The sequence below is a fragment of the Homo sapiens genome, chromosome 21 (genome assembly GCF_000001405.40).
Source record: "Homo sapiens chromosome 21, GRCh38.p14 Primary Assembly".
Lineage (NCBI taxonomy): Eukaryota > Metazoa > Chordata > Mammalia > Primates > Hominidae > Homo > Homo sapiens.
Genome location: NC_000021.9, coordinates 32,376,505 through 32,393,960, shown reverse-complemented (window position 1 = coordinate 32,393,960; position 17,456 = coordinate 32,376,505). Strand labels below are relative to the sequence as shown.

The 17,456-nt window shown below is 46.9% G+C and overlaps 1 protein-coding gene, 1 long non-coding RNA gene and 1 other non-coding gene across 3 annotated transcripts in view, besides 6 other annotated features; 2 read left to right on the top strand and 1 right to left on the bottom strand.

Annotated features, from left to right (window-relative positions):
- On the bottom strand, positions 1-828 carry URB1-AS1 (URB1 antisense RNA 1 (head to head)). Its single transcript, NR_026845.1, has one exon. It is a non-coding gene; the product is annotated as a URB1 antisense RNA 1 (head to head) (long non-coding RNA).
- Positions 119-900: an enhancer, noted in NCBI's record as "H3K27ac hESC enhancer chr21:33765370-33766151 (GRCh37/hg19 assembly coordinates)". NCBI's record gives its function as "activates a minimal SCP1, AML or CMV promoter by ChIP-STARR-seq in primed H9 embryonic stem cells {active_cell/tissue: H9 hESC(primed)}" and the evidence as "EXISTENCE:reporter gene assay evidence [ECO:0000049][PMID:30033119]".
- Positions 119-1,683: a biological region, named in NCBI's record as "H3K27ac hESC enhancers GRCh37_chr21:33764587-33765369 and GRCh37_chr21:33765370-33766151".
- Positions 347-596: an enhancer, noted in NCBI's record as "active region_18362". NCBI's record gives its function as "activates an Ori minimal core promoter by ATAC-STARR-seq in GM12878 lymphoblastoid cells {active_cell/tissue: GM12878}" and the evidence as "EXISTENCE:reporter gene assay evidence [ECO:0000049][PMID:35858748]".
- Positions 747-1,041: an enhancer, noted in NCBI's record as "tiled region #9918; HepG2 Activating DNase matched - State 1:Tss, and K562 Activating DNase unmatched - State 1:Tss". NCBI's record gives its function as "activates a minimal TATA promoter and a strong SV40 promoter by Sharpr-MPRA in HepG2 and K562 cells {active_cell/tissue: HepG2 | K562}" and the evidence as "EXISTENCE:reporter gene assay evidence [ECO:0000049][PMID:27701403]".
- Positions 901-1,683: an enhancer, noted in NCBI's record as "H3K27ac hESC enhancer chr21:33764587-33765369 (GRCh37/hg19 assembly coordinates)". NCBI's record gives its function as "activates a minimal SCP1, AML or CMV promoter by ChIP-STARR-seq in primed H9 embryonic stem cells {active_cell/tissue: H9 hESC(primed)}" and the evidence as "EXISTENCE:reporter gene assay evidence [ECO:0000049][PMID:30033119]".
- The window catches only part of URB1 (URB1 ribosome biogenesis factor), an 81,995-nt gene continuing 65,487 nt past the window's right edge, over positions 949-17,456 (top strand). The window contains exons 1-5 of the mRNA NM_014825.3: positions 949-1,192; positions 8,277-8,416; positions 9,497-9,648; positions 10,407-10,539; positions 15,420-15,516. Coding sequence (NP_055640.2) covers positions 1,051-1,192; positions 8,277-8,416; positions 9,497-9,648; positions 10,407-10,539; positions 15,420-15,516 — 664 coding nt within the window. The 5' untranslated portion in view covers positions 949-1,050. The remainder of the gene's footprint in view (positions 1,193-8,276; positions 8,417-9,496; positions 9,649-10,406; positions 10,540-15,419; positions 15,517-17,456) is intronic.
- Positions 10,634-11,833: an enhancer, noted in NCBI's record as "CDK7 strongly-dependent group 2 enhancer chr21:33754437-33755636 (GRCh37/hg19 assembly coordinates)". NCBI's record gives its function as "activates an origin of replication core promoter dependent on BRD2, BRD4, P300/CBP, MED14 and CDK7 cofactors, with strong dependence on CDK7, by STARR-seq in HCT116 cells {active_cell/tissue: HCT116}" and the evidence as "EXISTENCE:reporter gene assay evidence [ECO:0000049][PMID:35650434]".
- Positions 16,639-16,774, top strand: SNORA80A (small nucleolar RNA, H/ACA box 80A). Its single transcript, NR_002996.2, has one exon. It is a non-coding gene; the product is annotated as a small nucleolar RNA, H/ACA box 80A (small nucleolar RNA).

Below are 17,456 nucleotides of genomic sequence, written 5' to 3'. Positions count from 1 at the left end.
TTTTTACTTATTTTTACTTTCATTTTATTTCAGAGCATTTAATGCGGTTTACAAATCAATCACATCTTCCAAAAACACACTGTGTTGTTTTTCTCCTCAAAGCAGTTTTTCATACATTGCATCATTTTCTGTTCATAACAGTCCCAAGGACTGGATAGGGTCGGCTTTGCTGTCTCCATTTTAATGACAGGAACTTAGATGTGGAGGCCTTACGCTGTCCAGGAAGGGGTTTTACAGACGTTACTTCGTTTGGTCTTCTCCTCCCACCCTGCACGGCGCAAAGAGCCCATCAGTTTGCGGAAGTCTGGGGTGGAGGACAGTCTGGAGTGACAGGCTGCTACCAGACCAGTCGATCTGGTTCGGGCTGTGACATAAGCTAGGGGTCGAAGTCAGGGGCACCCGCACAGGCGGACCTGCCTGGCACCTAGCCAAGGCGAATCCACCTTCCCGGCCAGCCACCAGGGCCTTGAATTGGCAAAGTATCGAATCCTGTTGTGTGTGAAGCAAGCTCTTCATGCGACACCTTCAGGGCGACCTCGGGTCAAGAACTACTCATTGTGCTGCTTGGACGCGCCGGGGCCCGAGTCTTCGTGGATCGGCCAGGCCAGGAGTGAAAGGTCTGGGAGTTCTTCCGGCCAAGAGCACCCGAAGAGCCACTGGGATCAGAAATGCGCCCCGGTGGACCCCAAACCCTGCAGCCGGGGGCGGGGGGTGTCGTGGAGTGTCCGCTCGCCCCATGCCGTGACCGGGACAACCGGTACAGCAAACTCACATGGAGCCCCAAGACTCTGGATCCCCAAGACTCTGGATCCCTATCGCCCCGCCCCTTCTGCAGGCCACGCCCCTTCCGCCGGTCCCAGCCTCGCGCGGGTCGGCCCCTTCCGCCGGCCTTTCCCCGAGCCCCGCCTCTTCCGCCAGCCCCGCCTCTTCCGCCAGCCCCGCCTCTTCCTGCGCCATGTGGGCCTGAAGCGCGTGTCTGCTGTCTGTGCCAGTGCTCCTGCCGGGTCCCCTCAGGTGTGTCGTTTCCGTCGCGCTTCCGCCCTCTCGGCCATGGGGGTCCCCAAGAGGAAGGCCTCGGGCGGCCAGGACGGCGCGGCTTCCTCCGCGGGTGCAGCCAAGCGCGCCCGCAAAGAAGAGCTCACGGGCGTGCGGTTCAAGGCTCAGCTGAAGGACCCGCAGGGCCCCGGGCCAGGTGAGTCCGGGGCGGCAGGCGCAGGGTCGGGAGCACAGGCTGGCGAGGCGGCCTCCGTGTGCCGGGCACAGCCTCTCCTTTCTGCAGCTTTCGGGTCACATAGGCTCAGTGGCAAGCCTCTGGTTTGCAGAAAACTGAGGTTCAGGACTGCTGTGTACTTCCTTGCTCTGGACTGTCGGCGACAGCGAGAGGGCCCCGACTTGCTTGATTGGGACCGTTTCATGTTACAACACATTTATTTCCCTTGCCCAGGCAGCATCCCTCAGCGAGCTCTAAAACCTCTTTATTGCAGTTGTCAGGGAAGTAAATGAAGTGTCCTTCTCTATTGAGTCCTTACTGAGTCGGCTCAGGACGGTTCATGAGACAGTTTGCTACTCCTTGGGCCGTCAGCACCGTTTTCAATAGCTTCCATCCCCCAACACTCATACTGACTTGATGACTTGTAACAAGCTACTAGAAGCCACCACAGCTACTTGTCAGTTGACCAGGAATGGGCCAGTGACTGAGATGTAGCCGACTCTATAATTTAATTACACTTTTTGTAAAGTGTGACCACCCTTCGCGACTACTTGTAATCGTTTGGAAAGTAACATGGTTTGGGAAAAACGCAATTGAACGTGTTGCCATGTGGAAGCATTGCTCTAAAATAAAACAGTGGCAGTTTTTCTCCCAGGTTAAATAAACGATTAAATTAATGGCCAAAATATCTTCAACTTCCAATTTTTGTCCTCATTTTTTTTTTTAAACGACAGGGTCTTGCTCTGTTGCCCAGGCTGAAGTGCAGTGGCACTATCATAGCTCACTGCAGCCTTGAACTTCTGGGCTTAAGCTGTCCTCCCACCTCAGCCTCCCAAGTAGCTGAGATTGTAGGTGCACAACACCATGCCCAGCTATGTTTTTTTTTTTTTTTTTACTTTTTGTAGAGATGGAATCTCACTATGTTGTCCAGGCTGCCCTCGAACTCCCAGTCTCAAGCAATCTTCCCACCTTGTCTTCTCAAAGGGCTGGGAGTATAGGTATGAGCCACCACACCTGGCCTGTTTTTAAACTTTGATACCTATACCTGTACTTGCTAGTCACAGCTAGGAAGATGATACTTAGTTAGCATAGAGTTATTTATTTCCGAATTCATTAAGTATTACTAGAGGCTATTATTTGCTACGGTAGAGATAAAGTGATGAATAAAAATGTCAAAAAGCCTCTGCCATTGTGGGGTTTACAAACAGTCGAGTGGGGCAGGCAGATATTGGTCAGTAAAATCACATACATACAGTTTCAAGCACGAGTTTTCCAAAGGAGAGGTACATGGTGCCTGAGGGTGTTTAACAGACCTTGGATCTAATCTGGGAGCTCAAAGAAGGCTCCCCTGAGGAAGTGGCTTTTCTTTTCTTTTTTTTTTAATCATACTTTAAGTTTTAGGGTACATGTGCACAACGTGCCCCTTTGTTACATATGTATACATGTGCCATGTTGGTGTCCTGCACCCATTAACTCGTCATTTAACCTTAGGTATATCTCCTAATGCTGTCCCTCCCCCCTCCCCCCGACCCGACAACAGGCCCCGGTGTGTGATGTTCCCCTTCCTGTGTCCATGTGTTCTCATTGTTCAGTTCCCACCTATGAGTGAGAACATGCGGTGTTTGGTTTTTTGTCCTTGCGATAGTTTGCTGAGAATGATGGTTTCCAGCTTCATCCATGTCCCTACAAAGGACATGAACTCATCGTTTTTTATGGCTGCATAGTATTCCATGGTGTATATGTGCCACATTGTCTTAATCCAGTCTATCATTGTTGGACATTTGGGTTGGTTCCAAGTCTTTGCTATTGTGAATAGTGCCACAGTAAACGTACGTGTGCATGTGTCTTGATAGCAGTATGATTTATAATCCTTTGGGTATATACCCAGTAATGGGATGACTGGGTCAAATGGTATTTCTAGTTCTAGATCCCTGAGGAATCGCCACACTGACTTCCACAATGGTTGAACTAGTTTACAGTCCCACCAACAGTGTAAAAGTGTTCCCATTTCTCCACATCCTCTCCAGCACCTGTTGTTTCCTGACTTTTTAATGATCGCCATTCTAATTGGTGTGAGATGGTATCTCATTGTGGTTTTGATTTGCATTTCTCTGATGGATCTAATTAAACTAAAGAGCTTGTGCACAGCAAAAGAAACTACCATCAGAGTGAACAGGCGACCTACAGAATGGGAGAAAATTTTTGCAATCTACTCATCTGACAAAGGGCTAATATCCAGAATCTACAATGAACTCAAACAAATTTACAAGAAAAAAAAAAACCCCATCAAAAAGTGGGCAAAGGATATGAACAGACACTTCTCAAAAGAAGACATTTATGCAGCCAAAAGACACATGAAAAAATGCTCATCATCACTGGCCATCAGAGGAAGTGGCTTTTCAAAAGGATTGTAGGATGGGACAGGGACAGGAACCTTACTGGCAGAAGAAAGAGCACGTTTAATTGTTAAAAAGATGTAGTATCTATATTTCATGGTCTTGCACAGAGAGCCTCATGACATTCAGGTGCTACATCATTTGAACACATGTCAGAAGGAGACCCAGGTTGACAGGGCATGGGTGTAGGTGAGTAGTTGAAAGATGGGGCAAAGCTGAGTCAATGGGTGAAAGTGTGGATCCCTTGTTTGAGGCTGTGTTGAACTTGTGTTTGAATCTGGTCTGTATCTTGGATTCTCTCCTCCTCTCTTCCTCTTTATACGCTCTCATAACCTATGATAGGATTGCTGGAAGATCAGGGAAGTGAAGTTGATGGCTGTTAGGAGACTTTGTTTTCACCAGGCATGTGAGGGAAGGGTTCTGATGATGCTCCCTTCGTGTAGTGGAGGAACAAGAGCTGCCAGGTTAGATTGGTAAGGACTGAGGATATTCCAGAGTGGATCAGTGTCAGCCTGTGGGAAGATCCCCCATCAAGAAGGGTTTGGCTCTAAGCCAGTTCCTTTGAAAGTGTTTGCCCACGACTCCACTGGTGATAGAGAAAAGGCCATACTGTAAGAGAGTACACTAATGGTTAAACTCTTGATCTCCTTCTCCCCACATTGCTTCTGGTTTCCCCACTGCATAAGTGGTAATTCTGATTAGCTGGATGTTCCTGCCAGAACCCTCCGTCTGCATCAGTCTGTCCCCTGGCCTTGGTGGTTGATTCTCCTCCTGAGAATTTCTGGAATCTGTCTGCTCCCCCTCTTTCCTTCATCATCATTCTAGTCCAGGCATCATCAGTCCCTGCTGGGACCGTGGCTGGAGTTGCCCAGAGTTGGTCTCTCTTGCTGTTGCTTCCCTGCAGCCCGTGCTGTGTGCAGCAGTCAAATGATCCTTCAGAGCTCCAAATCTGATTATGTCACTCCTCTCATGACACCCTTCAGTGGTATCCCACTGCCCTTAGGATAAAATCCAAAGTCATTTCCATTGCTTCATCTAGCCCTGCCTGCTTCTTTGACTTCATCTCAGGCTGCCCTCCCCCACTCACTCAGTCACCCCTCCCCACTCACCTGGCTCCAGTGTACCCTCCAGCCTTGGGGCCTGGAATGTGGTCTCACCCTCTGCCCCCTCAATACTTACGTTTACTATTATTAATAATAGGTTCAGCATTACTTCTTCAAAGGAAACCTTCCCAACCCTCTAATCTAGATCATGTTCCCTAGGTACAGTCCTCATTATACTCTTGATGTTTGCTTCATAGCACTTACTACAGGTGCTATACGTGTCTATGTAAGTGATTGCGGTAGGTGCTTAATAAATACTCACATTGGTCTCTATCATTAGATTGTAAGGACCATGTGGGTAGAGGCCATTTCTAATTTGCTCATCAGCACGTCTCGGGCACCCCCTGTAGGTGCACCTGGTAGGTGCCCAGTAAATGGTGTATGGAAAGATGAACCTGTAAAGACGGCAAACATAACAGGCCAGCAGTTTCCACCCTGTAATACTCTGGAATGCTCAGAGTTACATGCTAGAGTTTGACGAATAATTCCTTAAAAAAGAGTGAGTAGTTGCACTGCTCTTTCTGTATTAACAGCCCTTGCTATCACTTGCATTCTGTGTTTTCTTGAGGGACAGAGTAGGTATGCATAACTCCAGGGTGCCTGTGCCGACTGAGCTCCTGTAACTCACAGTCACCTTGGTCAGAACACCCATGGCCTGCTCATAATCACCACCAGACCACGCTGCAGACGGCAGCAATGGAGTCTGGCCCCGAAGCTCAGAGCAGCGCCTGGCATAGCAGATGCACTTGCTCAGTGACTGTTAAAGGAATGGCGGTGGTTGCTGCGGAAAATGTTGCAGCATAAAAGGGGATCTGAAAACACCTGTGAGGCTGGCAGAGGCCGAATGTGACTGGATTTTCACTGCTGCTGCTGAGGACACCCGGGGGGCTGCTTATGTTTTGAGGGTTTACCTTGACCTAAGTGTGATGCTGGATGCTTTATGTGTAAATTAGCCTTTTTACGCTTCATACAAACCCTGTCAGGTAGGTTCTGTTCTTGTTCCGTTATACAGGTGAGGTACCCAGAGCTCAGAGTTCAGTGCCTTACTGAGTACCATGCAGCTAGTAAGTGACTGAGCGGGGATTTGTGCCCAGGAGTCTGGCTCCAATTTTGTTCTTTTCTGGTATGTTTTTGGTGTAATGGCGTGCTCATGCGTCCCCGGCAGATGTGGCTTAGCAGCGTCAGGACTTGAATCTGAGACACGCAGAATTGCTGTCCAAGAGGAAGCATGTGTTGGTCCTCTCTGCTCAGCTAGTGGAGCTCACCTGCAGTACCAAGCCCTGTTCTGGGCCTCATGCTTCAAGGGAACATAGAGAGTGACCTGAACACAGAAGGATCTCGAAACTCTCATTTCTGGAGAGAGGTTAAAGGAAGTGTTTGGTGTTCAGAGGTGCTGACTAGGGTGATGGCAGCTGGTGTGGGAAAGAAGGATTAGATCCATTGCCTGTGGCCCCAAGGCAGAGAAGGAAGGACCCCTTAGGGATGCCCAGACACTCCCTAAAGCAGACCACGCTATTCTGATGTGTCTATGAAGACTGTAGTGTATTTCTTAAAGTTTGTGGCATTTTACATTTTACTGTATTGGTCATTACTAAGTGGGTTTTAATAGAAATATTTAGTCCCTTCCTCTGCTTTTTTTTTTTTTTTTTTTGAATAAGGTGAAGTCTTCACTCCCCAGAAGAGATGAAGGCCTCAGTAAGATGTGTTACCTTTAGCTTACGCTCTCATGCGGCTTCCAACCCACTGCCATGCCCTGCCTTCCTAGTTTTGAGAAGTATGGCCCAAAGAGTGGAACCAGAGAGAGGCAGGGTTTTTTTTGTTTTGTTTTGTTTTTGAGACGGAGTCTCACTCTGTTGCCAGGCTAGAGTGCAGTGGCACGATCTCGACTCACTGCAACTTCCACCTCCCGGATTCAAGTGATTCTCCGAGAGGCAGGTTCAAGTGATTCTCTGAAAGGCAGTTTTATAGAACAGGTTCTGGCAGGAGAATTCTGTGGGCAGCGGCACACAGGTGGCTCCCAGTTGGTAGGGTGGGGTTGTGGTGGGGGTTCAGATTCAGGTGTCAGTGGTAGGGGAGGGGAGGTTGTATTAATTGCAGGAAGGGTAGTAGAATCCTCAGGCTGTTGAGAGGGGAGATTTTTGAGTGGGGAACTTCTGGGGTGGCCTTATGGGGAAACACTCTAGTGGGGTGCCCTCCTTTGGGTTTTGAAAGAGCACTGATGTCAACTGATGCTTGGCATACTGACTGTGGGCCAGGTGCAGCACGGACACTCTGTGTGCCAGTGCACTCAGAGCAACAGGCATCAGCTCCATTGCATGAGCAGGAATCATCCAGTTCGTGGAGGGAGAATATGGGCTCTGGAGCCCGACTGCCTGGATTGGAGTCCTGGCTCTACCTCTCCTAAGCTGTGTACCTTTGGACAAGGGCCTCAGTTTTCTCATCTGTGAAATACTAGTACCTAGGGAAAAAAATACTCATACCTAGGGTGGAGGGTTGCAGTGAGAATTAGCTGATGTCATGTAAGTAAAGCTCTTGGTAATGTTTCGTTACCATGCTCTATATGGTTTTTCTTGTTATACCCATTCTACAGTTGAGGGAACAAAAGCTCTATGGGGATCCAGACGAGTCATTGCCAGACTCAGTAGTCAAACCTGGGAGTCACATTGGCACTCAGTTTGTCTCATTCCTTATTGCCTTCATGGTTTCTAAGTGTGTTCATAATGTCCTTGTGGATTAATCTACTAGGGCAGCCATAACAAAATACCATAGACTGGGTGGCTTAAACAAGAGGAATTTATTTCCTCACAGTTCTGAAGGCCACGTCCGCGATCAAGGCATTGGCATAGTCACATCCTGGTAAGGGCACGTCCTGGCTTGCAGACAACTGCCCTCTTGCTGTGTCCTCACATGGCCTTTCCTCTATCCACATGCAGAGAGGGAGCTCTCTGATGTCTCCTTCTCCTCTAAGGACACCAGTCCTGTTAGATCAGGACCTCACCCTCATGAACTCACTTAACCTGAGTTATCTCCTAAAAGACTATATCTCCAAATACTGTCTTTTTAGGGCTTAGGGTTTCTTTCTTTCTTTTTTTTTTTTTTTCCTGAGACAGAGTCTTGCTCTGTCACCTAGGCTGGGGTGCAATGGCGCGATCTCGGCTCACTGTAACCTCTGCCTCCTGAGTTCACACAATTCTGCCTCAGCCTCCCAAGTAGCTGGGACTACAGATATGTGCCACCACACCTGGCTAATTTTTGTATTTTTAGTAGAGAGGGGGTTTCACCATGTTGGCCAGGCTGGTCTTGAACTCCTGACCTCAGGTGATCTGCCTGCCTTAGCCTCCCAAAGTGCTGGGATTACAGGCGTGAGCCACCGCGCCCGGCCGGGTTTAGGGTTTCAACATGAATTTTGGAGAGAAACAGTTAAGTTGATAGCATTCATAGTAGCTTCTGTGCAGTGTAGGTGGATCGGGGAAGGTCACAGAATAGGGAAAGCAGGTTGCAGTGGTGGCTGTGATTGTTTCTAAGAAGACTGACCTTGTTAATGTTTGAACATAACTTTTTTTTCAGGCTTGGAAGCGTTTGTGTCTGCTGCCAAGAAGCTACCACGAGAAGATGTGTATGATGTTGTGGAAGGGTATATAAAGATTTCTGTTGAGTGTGTCGAAATTTTCCAGCTCCTAAGTGGAGAGAAACGACCTGAAAGTGAAGTAAGTTGTTCCTTACATGGCTTGATGAAGAGAAGAAAAGTTAATGCTGCTGTTAAGTTTGATGAGGAAAAATGTGATAGAAATTTCCATTACCAACTTTCTATAGAAAATGATGCTTTGTCCCTGTGCTGTAGGAATGTATTCATTTTTTGCCTCCATGACCTTGAAAGCATTTTAGTGGAAAATTCTCACTTATTATTAACATTTGATGAATGACATCAGAAGGAAGGATCATAGATTCCTAATCAAAATATACTTGGTTTCGGTATGGTTTATTTAAACAAAAGGGAAACACATAAACATGTGGTGTCACAGACTCACAACACATAATGAATTGATGATTGTTTTCTGATTCCAAAGAGATTGAACATTGGGATATTGATGCGCCTGTTGAAATCTCAGGGTTATTGCTATAAGGATGTAGATCTGAATATCTCTAAAGGAATGAGACCCAGTCATTAAGAGAATTTTCTTCTCATTTGATTTTCTGTGATTGTAAACAAGCTGTTCTTTCTTTCTTTCTTTCTTTCTTTCTTTTCTTTTCTTTTCTTTTCTTTCATTTTTGAGACGGAGTCTCACTCTGTTGCCCAGGCTGGAGTGCAGTGGCGCAGTCTCGGCTCACTGCAAGCTCCGCATCCTGGGTTCATGCCATTCTCCTGCCTCAGCCTCCCAAGTAGCTGGGACTACAGGCGCCCGCCACCACGCCTGGCTAATTTTTTGTATTTTTAGTAGAGACGGGGTTTCACCGTGTTAGCTAGGATGGTTTCAATCTCCTGACCTCGTGATCTGCCCACCTCAGCCTCCCAAAGTGCTGGGATTACAGGCGTGAGCCACCACGCCTGGCCCTAACAAGCTGTTCTTTATTTTGCTGGACTATGGGAGTGGGGCTACATGCAGGGCATGGGTCCTGCAGATCAGCCTGCCAAGCTGTCGCGTTTGACTCAGGATCTGGGTGGGCGTCATCCTGCATGTTGAAGGCTTTAAGCCTACAAGTAACTATGGCTAAGACAAAAGGAGCATATATGTACAGGAGGAAAGGAAATGAGACGATTTCTAAGCGTTTCAATTCTGTCTTTGCAGACGATGTTAATATTTCAAGTTTTCGAGGCCATATTATTGCGGACAGCAAGTGATCTTTCACATTTCCATGTTGTGGGAACCAACATTGTGAAAAAGCTGATGAACAACCACATGAAGCTCATCTGTGAGTCCCTGTATGCCTCAGGTTACAGGTAGGCAGTCTGCCTTGGTGTGACAAAGGATGGGCCTTTGGGTTTGGTCTGCATTCAGCTCTCCGCAGGTGCATTTGGTCAGTACCTTTATGGCTAGAGGAGAGCTGAGCTATTTCCGAGGCCACAGTGACCGAGTCTCTGCCCCCTTCCTTTGTGGACCAGCCCTGGCTGTCCCTGACTCCTCTCTTACTTACCCCTTGTCCCTCTTGTCCTGCCTGCTACTGTCCTTGCTGCTATTATCTGTTGAGTGACTCCCTCTACTGGAATCCTATAGGTGCATGTGGCAGGGCCTTGCCTGTGTTATAAAATGCCACCTTCCCAGCACCTAGAACAGGGCCTTGCATGTAGCAGGTGCTCAGAAAACCATGGAATCTGGATAACCGCAGAACGGAAAGACAGCCAAGAGCTCGCATTCAGAGATGCCTTTGTGAAGAAGTCGTCCTCTGTATTCTGCAGTCACAGGGACTGAGGTGTGGTCTATTGATCACACAGTGGCTCACTCCAGAGAGAAATGTCCATCTTCTTCAAATCTTGTGTTTATATTGTTAATCCTACTTAGTTTTAATTTTTAGCGTTATTTTGAATCTTTATGCTTTTTTTTTTCTTTTTCCTTAAAAAAAGAGCATGTCTTTTTCCTTCTTTTTTTCTGGTTTGGGGATAGCAAATAACACAAGCAGCTTGCAGCTGGCTTTGTGGTGAGGCGGCTCTGTGCTTCTGCTGTTGTTGACGTGTCCGATTTCCTCTGGTTCCCTGTGCAGGTTGGCTCGCGCCTGCCTGAGCCTGATGACCGCCATGGTGACCCAGGGTCCGGAAGCTGCCAGGGACGTCTGCAGCCATTTTGATTTGAATAAAAAGACCCTGTACACCCTGGTGACCAAGAGGGATTCAAAGGTGAGGGGACCACAGTGTCTCGTGCCTTCCATGGGTCTCCTTCCCTTGGAGGACTGTAGTGGTTTTTCCTCCATTCTCTGCCCCTGATCCCCACACAGATGAAATGAGAGGTGTCTATGTAGAAAGGTGTGTGTCAGCAGCCACAGGATCTGTCTGTGAGGACAGGACTCGCTTCAGGCTGGCGATAGGGCCAGAACCTGGCAGAGCCTGAACAATGGGGATATCTGAGGAGGCTCCTGGGGGCTGAGTGGCACAGGGCCTTCCTGGTTGTGAGGATGACTTAGCTGTGGGCATCTCCTCTCCTGGTAAATGAAATACCCTCCATGTGCCCATGGCCCTGAAGCTTGTAGTGTGTGCCAGTCCTCTGTTCCTGTTCTGCCCACCTCGGAGAAAGCCCTTGAAGCTCTAAGCCAGTGACGTCCTCAGAGAGGACTTTTATGGCTTTTTAATAAGTGACTTTTGCCTCCCAGTTACAATCTTGTGATGGGTAAGGGTTGGATTGTGCCCAGGAAAAATGGGAGTGTGGATGGTTGGTTTTCAGGAAACCTGTGAAACAAAAATTCCCTGGTGGCTTTTGAAATTTCACTTGGGTTTGGAAAGGTTCTTGGGGAGCAGGCACACTTGGAGGACTCCTGAGCTTGAGAGAGGGCATCCTCCCATCGCGTGTGCTGGCTCCAGGTTGTCTGTCGTAGGGCCTCTTCTGGTTGCCATATCAGCTCCCCTGCTGGAATTCAGTGCTGTGAACAGCCCTGGCCAGAGTGTCACCCTCTTCCTGAACGTAAAGAATAAGGGGACAGGTATCAGTCCATCCCATCTGCTGCGGTGGAGAACCACATTAGAATAATTCACTTCTATAACAGTGTGCTGCCTTGTTCTGTCAGTATCCCTGGGAACTAAGAGTTTCTACATTGCCGGGAATTGGACTAAAGGGTTGATAATACCAAGTAGCTTTTATGGCTCTGTGAGATTGGCCTGGTGTTGAGGGTTTTACTGGAATTACAAATAAGGTATTCTCTAAGGAAAAAAATTCCAGGTCTTAATGTCTCTTAGATACTATGCTTTATCCATGTGTCAACAAATTCCATTCAATGAGTAATGGCTCCTGACATTTAAATACGTTTCTAATAAAAAGAATGTGTGTGCTATTTGCAGACGAGGGCAAATATCACGGTTCTTTGGTCTTACCTGGCAGTAAGCCTGGCAATAATTATCCATCAGATGCCCTCCCCACCCATCTCTTTTGATCTCAGCCCTCCCCGCCGTCTAAGTGAAATAGACTTTAGGAGCCCAGACAGCGTGGGAAAGGGCTTCCCGTCCTGAAGCCCGGCTGCAGGGCCACACACAAGCCGTTTCATCTCAGGGTCTCAGGGCACATTATTTTACCTCTCCAGGATCTGTAAAATGGGAGTTACAGTCAAGTTGAAAGTGTTTTTACTTTCATTGTGTAATCTGTAATAAGTATCTTAGATATCTTATATGTTATAGGAAATGGAGTTGAGACATTACATTTAATAAGGAACTGTTAGGAACATTTAAAAATAGAGCAGCGTGAGGAACCCCTGTACCAGCTGTCCAGCTTCAGCCACTGTCCCCACCCTCCACCTTTTCAGTTTCCTCTGGGGCAGTCGATTATAGCAAATCCCAGACGTGAATCATATTTCACTATAAATATTTCAGCATGTACTCTAACAGAAAAAGACCTTTTAAAGAACAGAAACCACAGTGCCATTATCACGCCTAACACATTAATAATTTCTCACTATCATCTATTACTCAGTTTGGTCTCAGGTTTTTTCCGTCTCAAAAATGTTTTTACACTTTGTGATTCAGATCGGGATCCAAACAAAGTCCACATTGCATTTGGTTGATATGTTTCTTAAATATCTTTGATCCCTTTTGCGTCTTTGAGTTTTTCTCCCTCATGCCATCCCCTGCTTTTTTTTTTTAAATGCTATTTAGTTGTTGAAGTGCTGGCAGGGATTTTTTTTTTTTTTTAATGAATATATGTTAACATTTTGGAGGAAATTATTAAAGCGTCATGAAGAAGGAGGGTTATAGATAATATTCATCCAGCCAAAGAAAGCATTGTTAAAATCCTGTGCCAAAGAGCAGTTTTACCAAGTGTATTTTGGTCTGTTTTAGACAGTGTTTTGCAGAACAAGCCCTGAAGAGTTCAGGACGTTTTCTTCCTGGAATAATAACCCTGTGAGGTCACAGGGTGGGAATGAAGAGCAGGCATGTGGTCCACTTGCAGTAGGAGTGGGACGCCTTTGATGGAGAGGACTGGAAACAGAGGATGGAGCCCCAGGGGGCCACGACAGTGGCAGAGCCTAGAGCCTAGAGTGGGCAGCTGCTGTGTCCTGGGGATCTTACCCAGTTCCTCCATCATGTCAGGACGTGAAATTTGGAGTTGTCTGGGATATAAAAGATGGAAGCCAGGAGGTGATAACTAAATCCCTTTTCATTTATAAATTCATTGCTGGAGGGACCCACAGGAGGTCTAGTTCTGCTGTGTACCAGCAGGATAGAAAGATGTAGAATGGCAGAAAACCTGGACCAGCATTCCAGGGCCCTGACTCCCAGTACTGTTACTTCAGTGGACACAAAATAAAAGCACAGGAACTTTCCACTAGCAGGGAAAAGACAGAACTTAATTTAATTTTGCCAGGCAAGTTTTAGCATTTTACCAGCATTCATCTGGAACACAAGGTGTGTGTAGATCAAGAAAATTAACTGCTTGAATTAGATGGTATGTTTATTTGAACAATGAGGCATAGAGATGGCTTGGGAGCAGCTTAAGCTTCCTGAGGACAGGGACAACATCTTGGTAAACTTTGCACCCTCTCTTGGCCTGAGATGATGGCATCTTGAATGGAATGAGTGTTTCATAAAAACTGAATTGGTGGGTTAAGGCACTGGAGTGTTGCTGACACTATGGAAGTGCTGCACATTCTCAGCACCAGTGATCATTGGATGCAAACTCCTTATTGTGATGAGACACACAGATAGGTCCTCAGAACAGAGAGGATAGTTTGAAGGTCTCAGTTTTGGAAGAAACTCACATTGGTGTAATAAGGTCTTGCTGAGATGCTGTGTGACATGGACGGGGATAAACTCAATAAATGTAATGAGTGTGCAAGGCCTTGATCCACATATTAGGGAGCATGGGTTGGATAGCCTTCCTTTTCTCCAGAAGAAACATAGACCCAACAAAATAAGATGGAATTAATTAAAGACTTGCACAGAGACCTAACTGATGCCAAGTATGGTCCTTGCACCCTGAGAAAAAGTGAAATGAAAATGGAAAATGCCACAGAATCTTGTGAAGAAGGAAGAACTTCTCTGTAGTTGAACATAAGTCGTATGTTTGTACAATTACTTCTTATCTCAGTTCTGGTACTTAATTAGCTGTGTGACCTCGAGTGAAATTTTTTTTTTTTTTTGAGATGGAGTCTCGCTCTGTCGCCCAGGTTGGAGTGCAGTGGCGTGATCTCTGCTCACTGCAACCTCTGCCTCCCGGGCTTAAGTCTCAGCCTCCCGAGTAGCTGGGATTATAGGCGCCTACCACCATACCCAGCTAATTTTTGTATTTTTAGTAGAGACAGGGTTTCACCATGTTGGCCGGGTTGGTTTCGAACTCCTAACCTCAAGTGATCCACCCTCCTTGGCCTCCCAATGTGCTGGGATTATAGGCATGAGCCACCGTGTCCGGCTGAATTTTTGAACCCTCAGTTTTCTCATCTGTAAAATGGGTGTGGTGTGGGCATCTCTCCCTCAGGCTGTTATGAGGAGTAAATGAGATCACGGATGTGCAGCATTTGATACAGTGCCTGGCACATAGTAAGTGCTCTGTAAACATTGTTCTCCTCCTCCTCCTCATCATCATCACTACTACTGCCACCACCTCTCCTGCTACTACTAAGTGGAACAGAACTATCTGGAAGGCAGAGATTACTCCTTAATTTTCCCAGGCATTTTGGGGCAGTGACTTGTTGTGATATTAACTTATTTCTTGGCAGTGAATGAAGGTATCTTTGGAGTAACTGTGAAGTAGAGAATAGTGCTGGGTGTAAGCAATGGAGGATCCAGGCACACCTGCTAGTTCTGGAACAGCTGATGAGAGACTGACATGACCACATGCCTTGAGTTCCTTAGATACAAAACGAGGAGTGATGTGACACAGCTTTGTCTTAATGATACTGGGAGGGGAAGCTGATCAGCGGCTTCCCTAGAGGCACTGGCTGCTGTCACGGTGTTGGGGCCCTCCCCAAACGTGCCCAGTGCCCTGGTTGGTGGCTGATGCATGTGGACAGTGCTGGCTACAACCCTGGGAAGGCCTAACAGGGTTAGTAACGTGACAGCATCTGTGCTTTGGTTTGTGGTATGAGCTAATAAGTTATTTATAATATCTCATAAAAACCAGACATCACCACATTGGTGTCTCACCAAAAGCAGTACCAGCCATTTCATCATCTCTGGATTTTCAAAAACATAGATTATTTTCATCAGCAAGCGAGAGGAGATGGATCTAGGCAGGCTGAGAGTCTTGCTCTACACCAAAGTGGCCAAGAAACGAAAATGTATGTGTTATAGTCAGGGAAGGGAACACTACTATTTTTTACCCATACTTTTGTATTGAGAATAGGGCTTGAAAGAGAAGGAAAGTAGAGAAGATTACCGGGGAAAGAGAACGGAAAAAATTTTTTACTTTCCATGGAGAATGAGCATTGGTTTCAGACTTGCATCCCCTGGTGACTGGGGACAAGGCTGGGGGGCTGGTGATGTTGAGACGGGAGGGGTGTGCTTGGCCACTGTGTTGCTGATTCCTTTGGCTGTATGTGGAATATGCATGTGACATGTAGGTCTCCTTTGTCCTCTAGGGAGTGTACGACGTTCGGCAGGCCTACGTTCAGTTTGCTCTCTCCTTTTTAATTGCGGGTGATGACAGCACTATAGTGCAGGTGTTGGAAGTGAAAGGTAGGTGTACTCCCTTGTCCGTTAGGAAAGCCCATTTGTTTTGAAAAACCTACTGCAAACCGTTTCTTCCAAGTTCAAAAAAAGTCTGCAGCCTTTGCAGTTGCTGTGTACACCAGATTGAAGGATGTGGGGCAGGGAGGTGGGTGAGCGGGTGCAAAGCCTTGGTCAGTACCATTTTGATATCACTGGTCAAGAGTGAACAGAGTTGTTCCTGTTATGCCGTCTGGAATGCTGAACAATGCCGTCACAGAGGATAAATGCAGACTTCAGAGAGGCAGAGTCGGGCAAACAAAGGAGGCTTTATGGCTATGGAACCTACTCAGACTCATAGCCTTGGCTACCTGGATTTCCTTGGGAGATGTCGTTTTAAAAAACAAAGTTAGTTTCTTTGGTGGCTTAGACCTGTGTTACGAGAACATCAGTAACAGGGCTTCAGAGAATTCCAACTTGACCACCTTTTGGTGGCTGTGTCCCTAGAGTGAGGCTTGGCATCATTTAATCTGCCAGGGCCCCTTGCATTTTATCAAGAGATTCACTAAGATGATAAATGGCAGCACTTAGCTCAGCACATGGCAGTTGCTCGGTAAGATTCCCTGGAATCCTGGCCTGTCTGGAGGTGAGGAGCAGTCCCATGTCCTGGCCGGAACTCTGGGAGTTATTGAGGAGGAGTAGCAGGGTGCTGTACTCAGGGTGTTTGGGTCTCCAGCCCTTCTTCTCCCTCCCAGGATGGGAGATCTGGACTGCCCCTGGAACGTGACTGCCGGGACGATTTAGGAGGAGAGTGCAGGTGGCGGTCACCCTGTATGTGGTCAGCCTGGTCTGTGTGGGGCGCTCTATTGCTGCTGTGGTGGAGCAGCATGAGAGTGGAGATGTGGTCTCTGCATAATGCAGCGGACAGATTTTTTTTTTTCCTACTTGTTACCAGGCACTAGGTTCAGGATATCTTGCTGCTGCCAGGGCCAGTAGTTTCTTCAAATTCCCGTGGGCCATTTCAGCTGTCTGGCCTTTTATTCAGTGACAGTTGGTACCATTTACACTGTTGAAGGGGGCTGGAACATACTACAGTTTAATGTTTCTGCTGGGAAGTTTGGCTGTACACATCAAAACTTTTAAGGTGCTTATGCATGGGTTTGGATTTATGATGGGCCCGTCCCCCTGGACCTCTCATAGTACCCCATGCCAGAGCAAACTGTAGCCCTGAACCATTGCCTGGCCTCTGTTCCCGTAGGCTGCTGGCACTGAAGTGGGTTGCACAATAGATAAAGAAAAAAGATAAAAAAACTTTTAAGATACTTGATCCTGCAATTCCATGTCTAGTCATTTATCCCAGTGAAATAATTAAAGATGTGAGTAGAGGTTTTGTTAGGGAATAATATTTATATTAGCTGGAAATGGGTCTTCTAACTATCCACCAGTAAGGGATTGGCTGAGCAAATTGGGGACTGGTCATAAGATGGAATGCAGCGATTAAAAATACTCTGGAGGCTGGCCGTCGTGGCTCACACCTGTAATCCCAGCATTTTGGGAGTTGGAGGCTGGAGGATTGCTTGAGCCCGGGAGTTCTTGAGACCATCCTGGACAACATAGTGAGATTCTGTCTCTACCAAAACAAACAAACAAACAAACAAACAAAACAAAAGTTAGCTGGGTGTGTTGGCGTGTACCTGTTGTCTCAGCTACTTGGGAAGCTGAGGTGGGAGAATTGCTTGAGCCTGGGATGTCAAGGCTGCAGTAAGTGGAGATTGCGCCACTGCACTCTAGCCTGGAGGACAGAGGGAGGCCCTGTCTCAAAAAGAAAAAAAACATGCTGCACTTAATGATTTCAAAGTTTTTTAGTGATATATGATTGGGTGTAAACTATAAAACTATAAAGTATGATCTCATTTTACTCAAATAGAGTAGCATGAATACATCAGAAGGGTAATAGTTAACTCAGATGA